The sequence below is a fragment of the Homo sapiens genome, chromosome 6 (genome assembly GCF_000001405.40).
Source record: "Homo sapiens chromosome 6, GRCh38.p14 Primary Assembly".
In the NCBI taxonomy this organism is placed as follows: Eukaryota; Metazoa; Chordata; class Mammalia; order Primates; family Hominidae; genus Homo; species Homo sapiens.
The window spans coordinates 11,353,334-11,374,486 of NC_000006.12; the positions used below are offsets into that span (position 1 = coordinate 11,353,334).

General features: G+C 42.8%; 1 protein-coding gene across 2 annotated transcripts in view, besides 3 other annotated features; it reads right to left on the minus strand.

The window, feature by feature from the left end:
• Positions 1 to 21,153, minus strand: part of NEDD9 (neural precursor cell expressed, developmentally down-regulated 9) — a 199,051-nt gene that overhangs the window by 170,036 nt on the left and 7,862 nt on the right. The window lies entirely within an intron of this gene.
• Positions 11,783 to 12,077: a silencer, noted in NCBI's record as "tiled region #10259; K562 Repressive non-DNase unmatched - State 24:Quies". NCBI's record gives its function as "represses a minimal TATA promoter and a strong SV40 promoter by Sharpr-MPRA in K562 cells {active_cell/tissue: K562}" and the evidence as "EXISTENCE:reporter gene assay evidence [ECO:0000049][PMID:27701403]".
• Positions 16,901 to 17,402: an enhancer, noted in NCBI's record as "H3K4me1 hESC enhancer chr6:11370467-11370968 (GRCh37/hg19 assembly coordinates)". NCBI's record gives its function as "activates a minimal SCP1, AML or CMV promoter by ChIP-STARR-seq in primed H9 embryonic stem cells {active_cell/tissue: H9 hESC(primed)}" and the evidence as "EXISTENCE:reporter gene assay evidence [ECO:0000049][PMID:30033119]".
• Positions 17,403 to 17,902: an enhancer, noted in NCBI's record as "H3K4me1 hESC enhancer chr6:11370969-11371468 (GRCh37/hg19 assembly coordinates)". NCBI's record gives its function as "activates a minimal SCP1, AML or CMV promoter by ChIP-STARR-seq in naive H9 embryonic stem cells {active_cell/tissue: H9 hESC(naive)}" and the evidence as "EXISTENCE:reporter gene assay evidence [ECO:0000049][PMID:30033119]".

The following is a 21,153-nucleotide window of genomic DNA, read 5'->3' on the forward strand; positions in this document are numbered from 1 at the left end:
ACAATATGACTGCTGTTTTTGTAAAAGGGGAAGAGAACTCTGTGTGAAAGAGACGCAGAGGGAGAAGGCGGCCCTGTGAAGATGGAGGCACAGGTGTGAGAGATGCTGCCACAAGCCCAGGAATGCCCGGGGCTGCTGGAAGCTGAAAGAGGCAAGGAAGGATCCTCCCCTTGAAGGTTCAGAAAGAGCGTGGCCCTGCCAGCACCTTGATTTCAGACTGCTGGCCTCCAGAACTGTAAGAAAATCTATTTCTGTCATCTGAAGCCACCCAGTTTATGGTACTTTGTAACAGCAGCTCTGGGAAGCTGACACAGTGGCCCCACTACTAGTTAGAGTCCATAGGACTGGAAGTTCTATTAGTTTGTAAAATAAACATTCCTAAAGCCCACCTTTAACGTGGAAAACCTGGTGACTCAAATTAGAGATGTATTACATGATTATATAGAAATTGAAATAGATTGGATGGAATAGGGGCAGGTGATTAAGAAGAAAAGAAAATTGCCTAAAAAGGCCCAAGCCACCACCTTGCTCATGGATAAGAGAAAACAACTTGTAAAAGTTGAAAGGGACTCAAATGAATGTCAGGGCAGGAAGAGTGATGGGGGCCATAATTCAACGGTCTTGGGGGAGCTGGCATTTTCATGCTGATTAATCTAAGATTTCGGCTTGAACAAGGGATAAGGTTTACAGACTAAAAATTAGCCACAAGGTATAACTTTACCTCTGGCTTAACAGAAGACTGAAAGAATAAAGCAAGCAGCTGTGTCAGAACTTGCCAGGCAATGTGAAATACTGTGGTTTGAACAAAGCTGAGTTGGGCTGAGAATGAATTACAGGAAGAAAGGCAGGAAGAAAAAGAAAGAGCTCTGGGGCTATTTATTCTTTGTGTACAGGACGCATTGAAGAAAGTACTGAGTCCCACGTCACCAACCCAGCTGGAAAACGTGGGGGCAACCAAAGCACAGAGAACATGAGTCACCAGCTCCTCACTCTCAGGAGCTCCATATTTGGGAGCCCAGCAAAGGGCTTATCATTTTTCGGATGGAGTCCCATGGGTTCTGGGGCTGCTGCTAGCTTCAGCTAAATGTGGTGCGTGTCTTCAAAATTAGAACTGACAATGGTGACCTTGGAGTCTTGCAACCTAGTGTTTCAGGGGAAAATAGTACCTAGATCTCAGCAGAGTGGGGATAGAGGAAGACATGGAGCTGCATGCTGTTGCCCGTGCATCAGCCAATCAGTTGGTCAGCCCTCTTGAACTGTTTAAGACTACCATGGACATTTGCTGTTTTCACCTACCCAGCATCTGTTCCTCCTCTGCTTCTAGGAACCATCTTTTGACTTTCTTTTGGGAGACTTGCATTTCTCTCTTCTTAGACCCTGGTGCCAGGGGTGGGTGCATGGCCACAGTCTGGACAATCAGAGTATTCCATTGTCCTGGGGGCTGCAACTGGTTTAGGGAAGGGTCATAGCACAAGTCAGCCCAAACAGAGTTCATCCTAGGGACTTTTACAAAAGCTACTGGGGACAAGATGCCGTCAGCTGGGTTGCTGGGAGGATGCGGGTGTGTGGAGCTGCATGTGACCATCTTGCTATGGGTTCAAAGAGGGACCATGTCCTGATGAGGTGGAGCCCCTGTATCCACTTGTGCCTGAAGCTCTTTTCTGCTACCCAAGCTGACATACTCCATCCTTTTGTTTTCTTTTACTGGCAAGCTAAAGAGTTCTGACTAATACACAGATCTCAGTAGGGCACAGTAGGTGCCATAGCAAACATCACACAAATATATGGAAGCCAAAGAGAAAATGCATATGGTATGGTGGGTCTGAAGTCAGATAGAGGAGACATGGACACAGGAATAGTCCAGAGTATTTTAGAATACTTACAAGTATTTCAAAACACATAAAATAAGGGTATTACTCCCTTAAATCCTTCTGGAATGAGGGAATAAAAACAAATATGGTTTTTAAAAGGAAACCATAGTAATTTAGTAAGAACTTCTCAAGGGGCTAGAAAAATTTAAAAAAAAATTAAAAACCAATAGTAATTTGAATTCTTCTTGCAGTAATATGGTATAATAGCAACAACAACAACAATAATAAATCAGCCAAAACGCAAGAACTGTGGGTGTCGTGAAGTCTCCGACCTAGGGTGACGAATTCATCCTGGTTGGTCTGGGACTGTCCCTGTTTTAAAACTGAACGCTCTAATTTCTGGGATGCCTTTAGTCTTGGGCAGACCTGAATGGTCAGTCACATGTTTTCAGGTCATTTTACTTTTCTGAGCCTTGGTTTCTTCATCAATGAATGGGGCGTATGTGGCAGGAGGAGGAGGTGGTGATAGAAACATCCATGCTTTTCAAACCATATTTTTGAGAGCTTTAGGTTTTTTTTTTTAATTATTTTTTTGAGACAGAGTCTCGCTCTGTCGCCCAGGCTGGAGGGCAGTGGCGCGATCTCCGCTCACTGCAAGCTCCGCCTCCTGTGTTCACACCATTCTCCTGCCTCAGCCTCCCCAGTAGCTGGGACTACAGGCACCCGCCACCACGCCCGGCTAATTTTTTGTATTTTTTAGTAGAGACGGGGTTTCACCGTGTTAGCCAGGATGGTCTCGATCTCCTGACCTCGTGATCTGCCCACCTTGGCCTCCCAAAGTCCTGGGATTGCAGGCGTGAGCCACCATGCCCGGCCGAGAGCTCTAGATTTTTACTAAGAGCTGCAACAGCCACTGCAGAAAGGAAAGTATGAAGCAACCTCCACTCCATTTCTGCTGCAGTTGGAGTTTCTCTTGTATGTGTTTCAATTGAGATCTGCCTAACATTTGTTAGGGGAGTGGGGAAACCTGCTCTCCGAGGGACCACCCTCTAGAATTCCATGATTTTTTCTCTTTGTTATGGGGCAAATGGCTCTTATAGACCACTGGTTCCCACACCTGACGGATCCTAAGAGTCACCTGGGAAGTCTTAAAACTAAATACTGCCTGCCACACCTGGATATTTCTACTCCGTTGGAATTGGGTGGAGCCAGGGATCTGTATTTTTACAAAATCTTTGCAGGTGACATACATATAAATTATTCACAAATGTCGGTATGCTAACTATCATTAATAATATATTACTTTCCACACATCTCGCAAATGGCCAGGACACATCATTGTTTGAGACACCATGTTCCCATACATCTTAAATTTTCCGTGCATCAGGAAAGCTTGTTAAAACACAGATGGCTGGGCACCACCCCCAGGGTTTCTGTTTCAGTAAGGCTGGGCGGGGCTGGAATTTGCATTCCTAAGATACTCCCAGGTGGGCATCTGCCACCTTCAGTAGCATCATTTTAGACCACAGGCTCACTTGAGTGTCTTGACTGGTCTCTTTAATCGTTGGCATCATCATAACCCACCCCCCCCACCCTTTCCCCTCCCCCTGGTATAGCACTCAGTAAATTATTGATGAATAAATGTGTGGATAAATGTTTTATGGCCTGAATGACGTGACCTTTCAACCATCTTTCTAAAGAATATTGTGAATTACACCCCTTCGCATGTAAGAAAAGTTTCTGCTGGTATCTAAGGAATATTGTCTCATGGGACCTCAGCTGAGGACATGGGTGGGGCAACAGGATTTCCTGCTCTCAGCTTTAGAGACTGTGCTGAATACAATGAGGTGACTGAGGCCTTCTGTTCCGGAGCCTCTAGCCAAGCCCACTGGGGTCTCGTTGAGCCACCATTTTTTGGAGCTCCATTTTGCTTCGTTTTTCACTTTTGAAGGCCGGCAGATTTCCTTTTCACCCACCAATTCCTTCCAGGCTTTCTTTAGCATGTTGTCATATTTAAGTCTTTAAATTGATTTGCTGGGACATTACACAAGCGTCTTCTGGCTGCTCTAACCCTTTACTCCTGTGGATAAACTTGTCATTATCCCTCTGGAAGCCCCAAATGACCACTCCAACCCCTGCGCAGGCCCTGATCACACCCGCATCCTTTGGCTTGTTTTTCTTCTCCGTTGGTGCTGCCACAGCGGCAGGCAGCTTGGCACTGTCTTTCCACACATCTTCCGTAGTCTGAGAAATGTTTCTTGGACTACAGAGACCTATTCATGGCCACAACCCAGATCTCAAGGCTAGGCACACCCCAAATAAAGTTAGAAAGGAAGAGAAAGCCACTGACCATTATTAACCTCTAAATAGGGAGCGCCCAGTCCAAGTTCTGCAGGAACATTCAGAGGGTGTTTAACTGGCTTTGCAACTTTTATGTAACTACTTGGAATCAGAAACAACACCCAGAAAATAAATACAAATAATAAAGTAACTTTTAAAAAAGATTCACTCTCTTTTCAGGCGCTTGCTTCGGTGCTGATCATGCAGACCTCGATTAATTAGTATTCAGTCCCAATGACCCTAAGAAAACAAGATGTGTGCACAAACAGGCAGGAAGCAGTCCTTGGAAAGAGAGTTTGGTTCTGACCAGAACCTATACTTATGGAGAAGTAATCTTTTCTACGTCAGTTCTACAAGATCGGCCTAGCTGAATGGCAGTGAGTCTGCGGTGATGAGTGAAAGCAGCCTTCCCTGCCTTTCTTCCACCCAGGCAGTCCCTGTGGGTCCCGCCTCCAGAGGCAGCCATTCAACTAAAGAAGCTATGGGGCCGCATGGTGGCTCACGCCTGTAATCTCAGCACTTTGGGAGGCCAAGGCGGGCGGATCACGAGGTCAGGAGATCGAGATCATCCTGGCCAACATGGTGAAACCCCGTCTCTACTAAAATACAAAAAATTAGCCGGGCGTGCGTGCTGCATGCCTGTAGTCCCAGCTACTCGGGAGGCTGAGGCAGGGGAATCGCTTGAATCCGGAAGGCGGAGGTTGCAGTGAGCTGAGATCACGCCACTGCACTCCCAGCCTGGCGACAGAGCAAGACTCCGTCAAAAAAAAAAAAAAAAAAAAAAAAAAAGCAATGGCTCTGCTGTTACATAACGTCAGCAGCACTGTAGGAATAACACCTTTTCCCTGATGTCAGAAGCTGCAGAAACGCCTGCCAGTGCAGAACGCTCCTCCAGTGCAAACTGGTCTGGAAGGCTTGGCCATGTGTGCCCTGGAAAGTTCTGGAATCTTTTTGGTGTTGGATTAATGGCATTCATGTTTCAGAAAACACCTCCAAACCTAGTTAACAGGAAAACTGTTAGAGAATAAATAAAACGGAGCGTTTAAAAAGTTTTCCACTGAGAAGCAGTTTGAAGAGTCAAGTCACCCTAGAGGAAAGCTGGGTATTTTCTTGTAGGTAGCCTTGGAGGCTTTTGTGAACATGGCGGGTGGTGGTTGACAGGGTGGTTGGAGGAAGGAAGAAAAATGACCTGCGTGCCACTCTTAATAATTGCCTCTTGATTTAGAATCAGGACTTTTCCCCCTGGTTTTACAAAATACATGCAGTCTTCCATGTGAAAGATTATGGGATGAATGGTGGGTGGCGGAGTGTTGCAAGGAGAGACTTAAACAACTCTTACCATTCATAAAGACCGAGGAAATTCAAATACTGAGAGAGGGGCTAAGATCACACCATCGGCAGGCAGCAAGAATGAGAAAGGTAGCCTTGCTGTGGCTTAGCTATGCATATTATCATGGGGGAGAGGCAAACTGTGCAATTCTTAAAGTTCATCTTCTTAGTGGTGAGTCAGGAACAAATATTTTGTAGGAGACACGTTAAGTCTGAAAAGCTTAGAGAGACTTGAGAGAGCTTCTGTATATAAAGGAGAGAATTGAAAATTCCTGTTCTACTCCATCCTGTTCTGTTCTCCAGGTGGAGTAGCAAGCTGGCAAGTCCCCCAGAAAGGAAAGGCTAGAGGGGTTACAGAGACAGAGAGCCAGCAAGGGTTTCACGTGGGCAGGGTGGAGAGATGTCAGGGGAAGGTATGTATTTATCTCTGTGTTAGGAAACTCTTGGAGAAACAAGCTGAAGCTTTCTATAAAGCCTTCCTGTTTACCCTTGAAAGAATCAGAAGCAAATGGGCCTTTGCCCAGGAAGCTACAGGGATCATTTGCCATATTTGGATTTCTCTGAGTAAGAGGATAGAGGAAGCCTCTGCCCAATGTCCTGGGATTATGAAGACATACCCAAATGGCTTCAGAGAACAAATGCCTATCTGTCCCTATTTCACTAGTTAACTTTTTGTAAATTCACATTAATAGAGATAACTACAGATATGCCAGTTCAAAGTTATCTGTAAGTTCCTCTCATTCTCTGTACAAACTTCACTTTTGCCCCACATTCTTCTAGACATCTTCCTTTAGAAGGATGACTGGAAGTCATGACAGCAGCTCCTCAAGGGCTGCTTCCGCCATGGTTAAGGCAGAATAGAATACTTTTCTCTTTCATAATATCCCAAACAAGTTGCCACATGTTGTTAACCCTGAACTCCAAGGAAACCCATCCTATAAGATTGGTGTCCAACCTGCGAACCACTGTCTTTGTCATGAAGATGTTCTCCTGTTGAAGGAGTTTAATGTGTTGGTGTACCATTTTGTTGCCAGATAGCAAGTCGTTTGAGACCTGTTTCATGCCATGAGGGACAAACCACATCTTGAAGTGGCGTGGTTGACAGTTGTGTCAAAAAAATAAAACAAGGCATTATCAAATAATCTTCTGAAATTTCTGCCTATATCATGAAAGGAGGATGTTTGATGAGCAGAAGTTGGTGTGGGATTCATAACTAAACTGTCCATCTGTGGGAGAATTCTGCAGGCTTCCATCACTAGTGTGTGACACAGCAAAGAGATGACAGTCCTATTCAGCTCCCAAATCTGTGGTTCCAGGGCACTGCTATTGGAACGAGGCTCAGTCTTGGGTGCCACTCAAAAGGGAAAGTACAGATGGATTAAAGAGTGATCAAGCAAAATAAACCCCCATTAGGGTGAAGAGGGTGTGACATATGAGGAAAGGGTTCAAATGCAGAAAGCATTGTAGAGCAGAAGAAGAACTCCCAAAGGAGAGCATGAGCAAGAGTCTGCCAGGAATTTAAGGAGAGTCTTAGGGAAGAGCAGAAAGTGAATAACCCACACACAGGTGAGAACTGTGTGGTCACCACTTAGCCAGGTGACATGGTTTCCTCTGTGTCCCCACCCAAATCTCATGTCAAAATGTAATTCCCAATGTTGCAGGTGGGGCCTGGTGGGAGGTGATTGTATCATGGGGGCAGATTTTTCCCTGGTTGCTGTTCTCCTGATAGTGAGTGAGTTCTCATGAGATCTGGTTGGTGAGAGAGCACCTCCCTGCTCTCTCTCTTCCTCCTGCTCCAGTCATGGAAGATGAGCTTTCTCCCCTTTCACCTTCTGCTATGATTGAAAGTTTCCTGAGGCCTCCCCAGAAGCTGAGCAGCTGCCAGCATCATGCTTCCTGTATAGCCTGCAGAACCGTGGGCCAATTAAACCTCTTTTCTTTATAAATTACCCAGTCTCAGGTATTTCTTTATAGCAGTGTGAGAACTGACTAATACATCAGGGAAGGCTACCACTCCTTGCCTACATGCAGAATTCAAGAAACAACAATGAGCACTTTGGTCCTCATATTCTGCGGACAATGGAAGAGAAAGAACAGAAAAGGCATAGAGCAGACTGTCCACCCAGATTCTAGAGGTGAGCCAAAGTAAAACTAATGTATCAGCTTGTTTGTGTGTATGACTGTGAGCGTACATGTGTGTGAGGCATGTATGGTACATTTTTCTTATTGCCATTTACTTTTGGTGCACTTAAGCTTTATTCAAAAAGTGAAATAGTGGAGGAATGGTCTCCAGAAATATGCAGCTTGTTCTGGAAATAAGAAAACAAGGCTAAAGGTGCTAAAGGACAGCTGTGTGCTCAGACAGCAGTGTCAGGGGGTCAGAGTTGTAGGGATGGGGGCTCTGGTTAAAGTCCAGCCAAACTCTAGATCATATCCTCTTTATCTTCTGTATTAGGGCATTCTTGCACTGCTATAAGGAAATGCCCGAGACTGGGTTAAATTGGCTCACGGTTCTGCAGGCTTTACAGAAAGCTCAGAGGCTTCTGCTTCTGGGGAGGTCTCAGGAGGCTTACAATCATGGCGGAAGGTAGAGTAGGAGCAGGTACGTCACATGGTGAAAGCAGGAGCAAGAGAGACAGACAGAGTGTCAAGGGGCAGGGGGGAGGTACCATACACTTTTACACAACCAGATCTCACAAGACCTCACTATCACAAATACAGCACCAAGCCATGAGGGATGCACCACCATGATCCAAACACCTCCTACCAGGCCCCACCTTCAGCACTGGAGATTACAATTCAACATGAGATTTTTGGGTGGGGACAAAAACCTAAACTATATCATCCCTATTCACAGCAGATGGTTAGGAAATGCTTATAGCTGATGAGAGAACAAAAACCATGTCATTTTTATTTAAGAAACTTAGGAGTACAAGAAGAACACCTATACAATCTAATTGCGACCCTAAAGAACAACATTCAGCATCACAATGGAAGCTCTAGGAGTTTGTAGGAGGGAGAAAGCATTGGGGGCTGAGATGGGCTGGGGTGTTCAAGAAGTAGGTGGTATGTGAGCTGAGCCTGGCATATGGAGAAAAAGAAGAAATTAGTCTGAGCAAAGGCAGAGGTACAGATATTCAAGGAATATTTGGGAGATTGCATAGAAGAAAAAAGTCTTCATGAATTGTGCTGTGCTGCTTGCAATGAACTGAATGCTTGTATCACCCCCAAATTTATATGTTGAAGTCCCAACCCGCAATGTGATGGTGATAGGAGGGGAGGGCTTTGAGAGGTGATTACATCATGAGGGTGAATCCTCCTGAATGGATGTAGTGCCGTTATGAAAGAGATCCCAGAGAGCTCTCTACCTCTTTTGCTGCCATGTGAGAATACAATGAGAAGGCAGCAATCTGCAACCCAGAGGAGGGCCTCAACAGGCACCCTATTTCAGAATGTTAGTCTCCAGAACTGTAAGAAATAAACATATGATGTTTACAAGCCGCCTAGTCTATAGTACTCGGTTCTAGCAGTCCAAACTTATGAGTACACTGACATAATTCCATTTTCATCCCTCTCTTTCTCTCTCTTCTGTGTGTTCTGCCTCTTGCTTTGCCTTTTCATGTCTTCTGCCATTTATTAGCATGTGTAGACTCAGCTAGTAGCAACCAGGGCTACCATGAGCACTTTGATTCTTATATTCTATGAGCTTCACATCTTATTTTTTTATAGATGCCATTATTTGTTCTTCAAATTATGGTATTAACTGCAGTCACACTATTCTTTCACTATAACTCTTGCTTGCTTTTCTCACCAAAGGGAGATATTTGTGTAGGTGTCAAAATCTGGCACTGCGTTGACTATAGTCATCCAGGAAATAGTCACCTACTCACTTGGGATATGTCATGAGCTGCCAGACCCAAAGATGAAGCTCTTTTATTAAGTGGAAGTGCATTAGCATTTGAGTGTTAATGGAGCAGACCTTTAATAAACAGTCACCATGTGTGAATTCTATTCTTGGATCTATGGGGACAGAAATGACTAAGAAGTTTACAAAATCTTCATTTATTGGAAGGGACAGATGTCTAACAACTAACAATGCTAATGCTGAAATAAACTATTGCTCTAAGACTCTGTTTCATCTTACTCTACAACCATATGGCAATCTGCATTGATGATGCATAATTTTTAACTTAAAATTGAAAGGATTCTTCTAGCCCTGTTCCCATTTTGAAATCCGTCTTTGAAAAAAAAAATACTAAAAGATATCTAAATTGGTTGCAGTCAATGACTTCATTTCAATGCATAGACTTTGGTGGTGCAACTGATTTGGCATCTACTACAGTTGCTTAGCATTCACAGCTAGCTATTGGACACTCTGCTGCCCTGCCCACTGACATAACCAAAGACCAGAAAACCTGGTGAAAGATAAGATAGAGGTAATCCCATGATTAAAGAGATTGATTAACTACTTTGCATTGGGAGAAGTAGGTGGGAGAAATTTCTTTGTCAGATTTTTTTTAAGCCTAAAAATGGTTTACAATGGGATGATTTCAATTACGGCGAGATGATTCACTATCTAGATCTTATGGAAGAAAATTCTTATGGATTTGTGGATACGTATCCTGAAAAATGAAGGACATCAACAAAGCAAGCCTCATGGAATGGGGGGGAAGTCTGAAATATGCTCATGTGGGGCATTAAGTACCAGACCATAAATGCACTCTGAGTGGTTTAACCTGAGAAAGAAGCAACCTAATGGTGCTTATAGCTCCAAGAAGCTCTGTCTTCAGAACACAACTGGAATGAAAGGCTCCATCTTCTCTGAACCTGAAAAGGGAGGGACCCACCAACAACATCCCCAGTTACGGTTTGAAGAAGGATGCTACTTTGCTCATGTTAGGGTGATGTGAATAGATGCATGAACCTTTTTTGGGGATATGTGAATTCAGATTCCAGTTTGTTCCATTTTGACTGTGTAGTCATTCTAAACCTGAGTATTTTTTTTTCTGCATAATAGTAAGGGCTAAAAAAATCTGTAGGGCTTCCCACAAATTAGGCACTGTTGTAAGCAACAGATATATATATTACCTTATGTAATCTCACAACAATCAAAAGGTAGCAAGCAGTAAAGAGTTCACATAGCAGGTCTGAGACTGCTGTCTCAATCCTGCTTGCAAGGCTGGCCCTTGGCTGGCATCTGGGAACATGTGAGGGGTTCCTGCTGGTCCGTGATATGAGTGGCTCACTGTGACTTAACTGTGTGTGCAAACAACATGGTTTATGCTGAACACCTGCTTTCCTTCTGGGAGTCTGGAATTTGTGTACATGCCAGACAGAGGGTGTCTAAGTGACCAGCTCCAAATCAAAACTCTGGCACTAAGTATCTACTGAGCTTCCCTAGTAGACAACATTTCATACCTGTCATAACTCGTTGCTGGAGGAGTTAAGTATGTCCTGTGTGACTCCCCTAGGAGAGGACTCTTGGTAGCTCATGTCTGGTTTCTTCTGTTGCTTTCCCCTTTGCTGATTCTGATTTGTCTTTGAGGTAATAGAACTTAGCTGTGGGCATGTCTCTATGATGAATCCTGTGGGTCCTCCTAATGAGTCATTGAACCTGGGGGTGGCCTTGGGAATTCCCCCCAAAGGTGTGTGACATTATAATTATCTCCATTTTAAGGTGAGGAAGCTGATTCATGGAGAGGTTAAGTAACTATACCAAGGCCACACAGCAGGTACATGGCACAACTAGGATTTGAACCCAGGCAAGCTGACTCCACAGCTTTTGCTTGTAACCCTTAAGGAGGCTCCAAAGTTCCCTCATTAAGTGGTTGTGAATCAAAGCAGGTGTGTTCACTCAGTACATATTAAGTGCTCAATAAAACATAGTTACTCTACTGTATTAGGATGTAATCTCCCGTCCCTTCTACCTACTAACTAGAAATCTATCATGCATTTTTCGCCATCCCACTAACAAGCAGAAAGTCCCTGAGGCTGAAATATCTTTGAAGAAGAGGGAGAGAAATAGAATGGATGTCATGCTATTTTTTTAAACAATAATAACTATTATGGTACAGTTCCTTTATAAGCCAAATGGAGCCTCTGCATTTCCTCTCCTCTTTCCTTACCTGATCCCTGGCCTCTCTCACCCTGGCACCGGGGTAAGAGCGGTGAGGGTCAGTGTAGCAGGCTGGGCATTCAGAAAAACTGACTGGAGCAAGAGTTGGAGGTGGGTGGGCAGATTTAGGGGAGCTCTTCTCATGATGGCGACTATGTTTTCTGCCACTCACCCCCCAGATGGGAACACGCTGTCTGACAAACAGAGTACTTAATGTTCTGTTTGTTGAAATCATTTCTCAATCACCCTCACCCCTCCCTACCTTTCAAGTGTTCTAGTTAATGCAGAAACATCCCGTTTCTTTCCATTGAGGAAACCAAGTGACCCCAACATTCCATAGACCTATTCTTGTCCTACTTTCAAAAAAAAACAGCTCTTCCTGCTGACCGCCTGCCTATAATAAGTCATAGCTTAGTTAGTAGATCTGAATGTCCTAGTTAGAGATAAGTTGGCTGAAGCACAGTACATCTACGTGTAGAATTTGGAGGAAAGGACTGAAGAAAGATACCGTGATTTAAAAACCTCATCTTCACCCTACACTCCTTGAAATAAGTAGAGAAGCAAAGCTTCTTATGTATAGTAAGAAATATAGATTAAAAGGTGAATAGCAGAAGAGTGGTGGCTTGGAGTTACATTAATTGAAATCAACAAGACCAAATCCTTCCCTGCAAGCACATTTTGATGAGGTAAAACTGGAAGGAGTCCATGGATATTCAGTACTTAAAAAAAAGGCTTGATCATAACAAATGCCAAGAAAAAGAAGAAAGAAAATAAAATGGGGCCGGGCGCAGTGGCTCACGCCTGTAATCCCAGCACTTTGGGAGGCCGAGGTGGGCGGATCACTTTGAGCTCAGGAATTCAAGACTAGCCTGGCCAACATGGTGAAACCCTGTCTCTACTAAAAATACAAAAATTAGGTGGATGTGATGGCATGCATCTGTAGACCCAACTACTCGGGGGGCTGAGGCTGGAGAATCACTTGAGCCCAGGAGGCAGAGGTTGCCGTGAGCCGAGATTGTGCTACTGCACTCCAGCCTGAGTGACAGAGCAAGAGACACAGTCAAAAAAAGAAAGAGGCTGGGCGTGGTGGCTCACACCTGTAATCCCAGCACTTTGGGAGGCCAAGGTGGGCAGATCATGAGGTCAGGAGTTTGAGACCAGCCTGACCAACAAGGTGAAACCCAGTCTCTATTAAAACTACAAAAAGTAACCGGGTGTGGTGGCATGTGCCTGTAACCCCAGCTACTCAGCAGGCTGAAGCAGGAGAATCACTTGAACCTGGGAGGCAGAGGTTGCAGTGAGCCGAGATTGTGCGTGGGTGACAGAGTGAGAGTCTGAGAAAGAAGGAAGGAAGGAAGGAAGGAAGGAAAGAAAGAAAGAAAGAGAAAGAAAGAAAGGAGAAAGACAGAGAGAAAGAAAGAAAGAAATGAAGAAAGAAAGAAAGGGGGAGCAAGACAGAGAGAGAGAGAAATAAAAGAAGAAAGAAAAAAGAAAAAGAAAGGAAGAAAGAAAGAAAAAAGAAAGAAAGAGAGAAAGGAAAAGAAAGAAGAAAGAAAAGGGATTTAGGATGAAAAACTGGTAGTACCAAAGGGTCACTTCATACTTACAGTAGATTTTCTCATGGGATAGCCATTAGAGGTTGGCACTTTAAAAGCAATGTATGAGAGGTGGAAACCAAAACAGAAACTGCCTATCTTGAAGTAAGATGCATTTTAGTCTGATGAAAACCAGCGTCTTCACACCAACAACGTGTGCTGAAAGGATGCACAGCAAGGAGTTGCCTCGTCATTGAATGAGCTCTAAGCAAATGACTTAGGGGACCCAGGCTTCAGTCCTAGCTGTGTCATCTGATCAGTTGCCCAACTTCATGTGAGTTACGTCATCTTTCCCACCGTGATCTCCTCAGTTTCACTATCTGTAGAGTGGGAGATACAATAAACATGCCCCAGGACCACTGTGAAAGTGAAATAATATGAGTCAATGTGCTGTGTTAATTGTAAAATAATATCTAAATCTTGGCTGTTAATATTTTGATCCAATGTTGTTACCTAGCACCAAGATTGAAGAGATAAATCAAACATTAAAAAGAAAACCTAGATTAGTTTTTGCTGTACTGAACATTAAGAAAGGAGGGTTACCTCGAGAGGAGAACCGTATAAAGCTCAATTAAAATGGAAAGGGCACTGCAGTGGACTCTATGATTGGTCAAAATATTAGGCTTTCTTCATTAATCCTTCCTCCTTGGTTTGTCTGGTTAAAATCACACACAGTGGTCTGAAAGTGCAGTGGGCATCAATTAAGATTTAGGTCAGAGCCTCTGAGGTAGCCAGTGATTTAGTTTCTGGGATTAAGGAAGACAAAAGCTTACCGATGGCTGGATGAGAATAACATTCCTTTCTATTGTGATCATCCTACATCAAGGAAATGTTTGAAATTTAGGGAGTCTGTTAAAGTTATTATATGGCCGAGCTTTTGAAAAACACAGCAGCACAAATGTGTTTTATCAGTCTTTACTGTTGGTAAGAATCCTGGAGAAAGGAAATTTGATCAGTCTCCCAATGCAGTTTACTCCAAAATGGATCACTAGTCTAGAGGACCAACTGCATCTATCAGAGTCAGATCTATCTGCCAAGACTCCCCACTTCCCTCACCATCATTCACACATCCTGTGCTTTCTTTGCAAATGATACAGACTGTCATTAGGTTTAGAGTAAGCTGCAATTAGCAAGTCTCTCAACTTCTCTTACAAGGAACTTATTTTTAGTGGAAAGTTTTGTAATGGTTCCTGTCTAATGTTTAACTCTTCCCTGGAGACCAAACTCCCTAGCTCAATCATTGACAGCAGGATTCCAGGAGTGAATGGCATCCCTTTGAACCAACTAGTGACTGTAATTGCTTAAACCTAGCTACTAGCCATTTCGGCACCTTCTACACAGCACCCCTTGCAAATAAGTCCGGCAGAGCTATGGAATTTTGGCCTTTTTGTCTGAACTCTCGGGATTGTATGAGACTGGACCTTGGTTCTTAAAAGGGCTCTTCAGTGTGGTCAGGGCTGGTGATCAAAAGCATCAGTCTCAGCACCTAGTCACATGTGTTTTTCGTGTTTTCGTGGATGAGGCTGGTTCTGTGCTTGCCAAGGTCAAGCAACTCAATTACCCAGGGCCTGCTTGGAAGCTACTGTGCGCAGTCTGGCCCTCAGTGGCTTCTCCCCTTGCCCTTGGGCCCTGATGGCTGTTTGCAAGCTGGGAAGAAGACACCAGGGCTGGGGGGTACCCAGAAACCCAAACAGATGGAGAAAAGTTTCAAAAAGGCAAAACAATGAAGATTTGCTTAATTTACAGATAAAATAAAATAAACATAATTTAATCTATCAACTATATTTATTCCTGTGGTTCTTCATTAGCACAGAAAAATTAAGAATTGTTTATATTTTAAGAGTAATACAATGAATCTTTCTTCTATTCCTGAATGAGTCACACCGAAGTAACTACCACAACTCTTGGATACGCTACTAATCAACACACAATAAAACAAATGATCGCCATGGTTTTCCAACTTTAAACCCACTTGGAAAAAGTTCCATGCTGGTGGGAGCTACACCACCACGTAGCTCCATACGAATTTGTTGACTGATGACTGACACACAGAAGGGTCTACAGAATAATAAAGGAAAGCTAACTTTAAAAAACCCTCCTTCTATTTCATTTGAGTGCTTGTACATATCTGCTTATGTTTATCATCTAGTCATGAAATATCATTTCGGCTTTCTTTACAGAGGTTGGGGTGAATTTAACTGGATCATTTCATGTATCCTATAAGCCTTTGGGTTTTGTTTTTTTCTTGATCTTCTGGAATTCTTTTTTCTGTCAAACCCTACTCATTCTTTACATCCCTTCTCTTTTATGAAAACTCATTCCCTCTCCTCCTCTTCCTCCCACTAGCTAATATGTATTGAGCACTTAATGTGTCAGATACCACTTTAGGTGCTGTGTGTGTGTTGACTCATGTAACATTCAAAATCATCCATTGACTCATAAAACCTTCAAAACCACCGGTGAGGTAGGGCTCTTATTACCTCCTTTGTGCAGATGAGAAACAGAGAAACAGAAAAGTAAAGTAATTTGCTCAATAGCACATGGCAGGTGGGTGGTACAGGTTGGATTTGAACTCAGGCAGTTGGTTCTCTCTTAAGCACTCCAACCTTCTTGAATCTGTCCATTTCCTGAACCCTGATGATCATTTCCCCAACTTATGTTGCTTGATAGTTGCTTTGTGAATGTTCCCATGCTGCAGAGAAAGAATCTCCTTAGAGAGTATGCCATGACTTTCTTACATTGCTTAGAACTTTTTTTTTGCTTTGCCATTTATTTTTATCAATTATTTATTAACAAATTAACAAAACAAGAAAACAAGCCAAAACAAAAATGGTCAAAAGATAAGCCTGACGAGGGGAGAAGAATTATTATTTTTAAGTAAAATAATCTTAAAAACACATTCCTACTGTTAAATTTTATTAGGAACTCCCCATTTCTCCAACCATTGCTCCTGTGTACTACACAACCTGGCATGCATGAGTGATTGTGCACGTGTACACACACAGAGTTTTTAAAATTTGAGCCAGTTTTCAATCACAAAGCAACGTAAACTCATTTTTAAATATCTAAAGACAGACAATGTCTACTGCAGAAAGTGAACCTGTCTTATAAACCCAATCCCAAAACATTTAAAAATATTTGGGAGTCTATATTTTGCTAGACTTTTATTCTACAATGAGATAGATAAAAATGGGCTTGTACTGTATGTTCTTTTGCATTTGTTGCTTTGTATTTGATTCACATCTTTTCATATCTTTGTGTATATCCTCTTTCTTCTTTTTCACCAGTAGCACAGTATTCCAAAGTGTGGATTGCCAAATTGTAATAAGGACCCTACTGATGGACTTTTGGATTGTGTTCATGTTTTCAATATCATGCTCAACTGCATTTCACATAGCCTCAAAAGAAAGAAATCTCTGCTAGGTCGAACTCAAATAGGGAGTGTTGGGCCAAGTGGCTCTTCTGTGCAATTAAGAAAGAAATTACTCAGCAGATAGAAAGTATGACATAGAAGAGGCTAACACTTCTCTAACTGGGTATTCAGGGAATATCATTAGGGATGTCAACTGAGGTATATAAAGAGTCTTTTCCCTAAGGAACATTTCGTTTAATGATGAAATAGACACATCTCTCTGCTAAATCATGCTTGTGGGAACCCAAGGAGGCCAGCCCCTGAATCACAGGCCTGCTTAGAGTAAAACGCTGCACCGAAGCTCTGCTGACGTTTTCCTATGCTGAAGCAAGAAGTGAGGAACATTGTCTTTGAAAAATGCTCTGACCAAAACCATTCTTTGCTCTGCTATGTAGAGTAGAGCTTTGTTTTTCAATCAGGCTGTTATTCAAATGCTGGAGCGGATCCAAATTTGCTTTCCTGAGGAAAAGTCTGCCTTTGCCTACAGCACGCACACACGGCTGGAGGACGGCTCCCACCCCTGTCCTCCCAAGACCTGCATTCCAGTCCAAATGGTTCCCTCACCGACCCACTAGGTGCACAAGGCTCTCCTCAAGCCGCCTTTTCTTCCCCTCACAATCTCCTCATGCTTTTCTGTGTCCTTCCCGTTTTGCAAGGGCCATACCAGCTTCACTTCTGAGCAGGCTTCCCTGCTTACAGAGAGCTTCTTTCCCTGCCTGGTAGCACCCGTCCCTCACGCTCACTGGATGATCCACTCACTGGCTCACTCACTCGTTCCTTCAGCAGATGTCCCTCCAGCACCTCCCATGTGCCAAGAACACAGCAGGGGACAAAATAACGTCCTTCACCCACCCACGGAGCCAACGGTTCAGAGGCAGAAACAGACCATAAGCCAGTACGTCAGTCTGCACGGCGTCGGGTGGTGTTGAGGACAGGTGACAACGGGGAGGGTGACAGAGGTGACCCCGTGGCCATTTTGCATGGCATGTGAGGGAGGGCTGGCGGATTGGGTGACTTGTGGCCCAGAGCTGAATGAGGAAGGGGACGGAGCCTGGCAGGGATCTCCCAGAAGGTCCTTCCAGGCAGAGGGACTGTCAGTGCAAACGTCCGGTGTTGGGCACTTTCTTGGCCTTCTGGGGGAACATCAAAGAGGCCACTTAGCTCCTTTTAAAAAAAGACTATTTTTTAGAGCACTTTTGGGTTCACAGCAAAATTGAGAAAAAGGTACAGAGATTTCCCATATACCTCCTGCTCCCACATGCACACAGGCTCTCCCACTGTCGACCTCCCTCCACAGACTGGCACATTTGCTACAATCAATAAACCTGCATTGACACATCATTATGACCCCAAGTCTATAGTTGACAGTAGGGTTCGCACCTGGTGGTGTACATTCTATGGGATTGGGCAAATGCACAGTGACACGCTTCTACCACTATCGTATCACGCAGAGGACTTTCACTGCCCTCAAATCTTCCATGCCTCACCTATTCATCCCTCCCTCCTTGCAGTCCCTGGGAACCCCTGATCTTTTTACTGGTACCCTAGTTTTATCTTTTCCAGAACGTTCTAGTTAGAATCATACAATATACAGCTTTTTCAGATTGGCTTCTTTCACTTAGCAACATATTTAGCTATTTTTTAAATGTGATTTTTGTTTTACAAACGTATTTGTTCTTTCTTCAACTCAAATGTAAGATTTTTTAGAGCAATGGGTTGAAGGTTGTAGATAACAGGTGAGAAATCGTGATGACGCTTTCTTAGAAGAATTCCCCTCTTTGAGGTACATCAACGTGTGCTACACATCCCTGTGTCCTCCAGCCCTTACCTAAAACTTTAATTGGATTATTAGCCCTAGCCTGTGACATGCAAATATTCTAATTAAAGGCTGTTTTTTTTCTTTTTAAAAAAATTCAGTGGATACATAGTAGGTGTATATATTTATGGGTTATATGAGATGTTTTGATACAGGCATGCAATGTGTAATAATCACATCAGGGTACATGGGGTCTCCATCACCTCAAGCATTTATCCTCTGTGTTACAAACAATCCAATTACAATATTTTAGTTATTTTTTAATGTACAATTAAATTATTTTCGACTACGGTCATCCTGTTGTGCTAGCAAATACTAGGTCTTACTCATTCTTTCTATGACTTGTACTCATTATCTATCTCCCCTACCTGCCCCCCATAATCCCCCCCACCCACAACGCTACCCTTCCCAGCCCCTGGTAACCATCCCTCTATTGTCTGTCTTTATGAGTTCAATTATTTTAATTTTTAGCTCCCACAAGTAAGTGAGAACATGTGAAATTTGTCTTTCTGTGCCTGGTTTATTTCACTTAACATAATGACCACTAGTTCCATCCATGTTGCTGCAAATGACTGGATCTCATTCTTTTTTATGGGTGAATAGTACTCCATTGTGTATATGTACCACATTTCCTTTATCCATTTATTTGTTGATGGACACTTAGGTTTCTTCCAAATCTTGGCACTTGTGAAGAGTGCTGCAATAAACACAGGACTGCAGATATGTCTTTAATATATTGATTTCCTTTCTTTTGGGTATATGTGAGTGGGATTGCTGGATCATATGACAGCTCTATTTTTAGTTTTTTGAGGAACCTCCAAACTGTTCTCCACAGTGGTTATACTAATTTACATTCCCACTAACAGTATATGAGGGTTCCCTTTTCTTCACATCCTCAGTAGAATTTGTTATTGCCTGACTTTTGCATATAAGCCATTTTAACTGTGGTGAAATGATATCTCATTGTAGTTTTGATTTGCATTTCTCTGAGGATCAGTGATGTTGAGCACCTATTCATATACCTGCTTGCCATTTGTATTTTTCCTTTTGAGAAATAAGCCTGATATTCTTTCAGGGCATAAATTAAGAATGCAACCCTCCTCTGCCCATGGCCACATATATCATGTAAGAGCAATCTGGCATAGATACTCCAATTCATTTTTTTTAAATGGATTCTCAGTTCTAAACAACATAAACCAATGTCTTTATTTTTAATGCTTGTCTTTGCTTCAGTCAAAAAAACTCCAAAACACAATGAAGGAAGAGGCCAATTGAGTAAACCAGTTACTTAAAGCTAACAAAGAAACAGACATCATCAAGCAGTTCTGTCTTCCCAAATCAATTCTTTTGAAATCAAACACCTTCGTTAAGTGGTTCCTTGAACTGTTTTGCCATAAAAATTAAAAAAAAAAAACTCATGAAGAAAATGAAATAATCATGTACAAAATACCTTTGTCACTTTATTTTTAATACAATTGTATGCAATTTGTTAATTTTCATCATCCTTTATAACTGAATTATATGTGCTTTTGAAAGCTACATAATGAATAACATGTTGTATATAATTGTTAAAATGTGTCTATGGTCATCATATAATTTAGACCTGAGGTCCTCAGTAGAAGACAAAGTCCAGGAAGTCAGAACCTCTGTTCCTCTTTTCACTATACCCCAATACCATATGTATATGGGAGAATGGATTTGATTGACTTGAGTTGTATCTGCAGTGCTTCTTGAAGGCATGAAAACTACTGCGAGTGTTTTAATTACTCAAACCTCCACCCTTCCATATGTAAGCTTCTTGAAAATAGGGATTTTGTCTGGCTGGCTTTCCTGCTGAATCCCCAGCACCTAATATGGTGCCTGGCCCATACAGAGTCCTTAACAGATGTTCAATAAATATTAATATCTACTAAATTATTTTCTGAAATGGATACAGTATCTGAGATGGTTAATTTTACGTGTTAACTTGGCTAAGCCAAGGTACCTAGATATTGATCAAACATTCTTCTGGATGTCACTGCAAAGCTATCTTCTTTAAAAGATTAACATTTAAATGAGTAGGCTTTGAGCAAAACAAATGACCTTCCATAATGTAGGTGGGCCTCCAATCAGTTGAAGGCCTTAATAGAAAAAAGAGCGACATCCACAGAGCAAGAAGGAATTCAGCTAGCAGAGTGCCTTCGGACTCAAGTAGCAATGTCAGTTCTTCCCTGATCTCCAGCTTGCCAGCCTGCCTTGCTGATTTTGGACTTGCCAGTCTCCATAATTGTGTGAACCAACTTCATAAAATAAATCTCTCTCTCTCTCTCTCTCTCTATATATATATGTATATATATACACACACACATTCCATTGGTTCTGTTTGTCTGGAGAACCCTAATACACCCACCTTACTCCTTTGCTCACTCAATGAATCAATCAATATATGTCATTTGCCAGGGATCACTCTCACCCATCAAGACCTCACAACTACTAAAGCCAAACCAGTGATACAACCCCTGAAGTACACTCTTGACTTTAACTTCTCCACTCCGGTGGAGTGACAAAGAGCATTACTTCCTTAATGTTTCGACGATTATATGATGCAAAGCACCTGCATGAGGAACAGGTGCTGAGAGGACACTGTACTTGCTAAAGCCATGTCCTGATAGTGTGACAGAAGGCACCAGCATACTACTGTGCTTTGAGGAGAAAATGCTTCCCATGGTGAGGCTGAGCTGCTGATAGTCTCACTT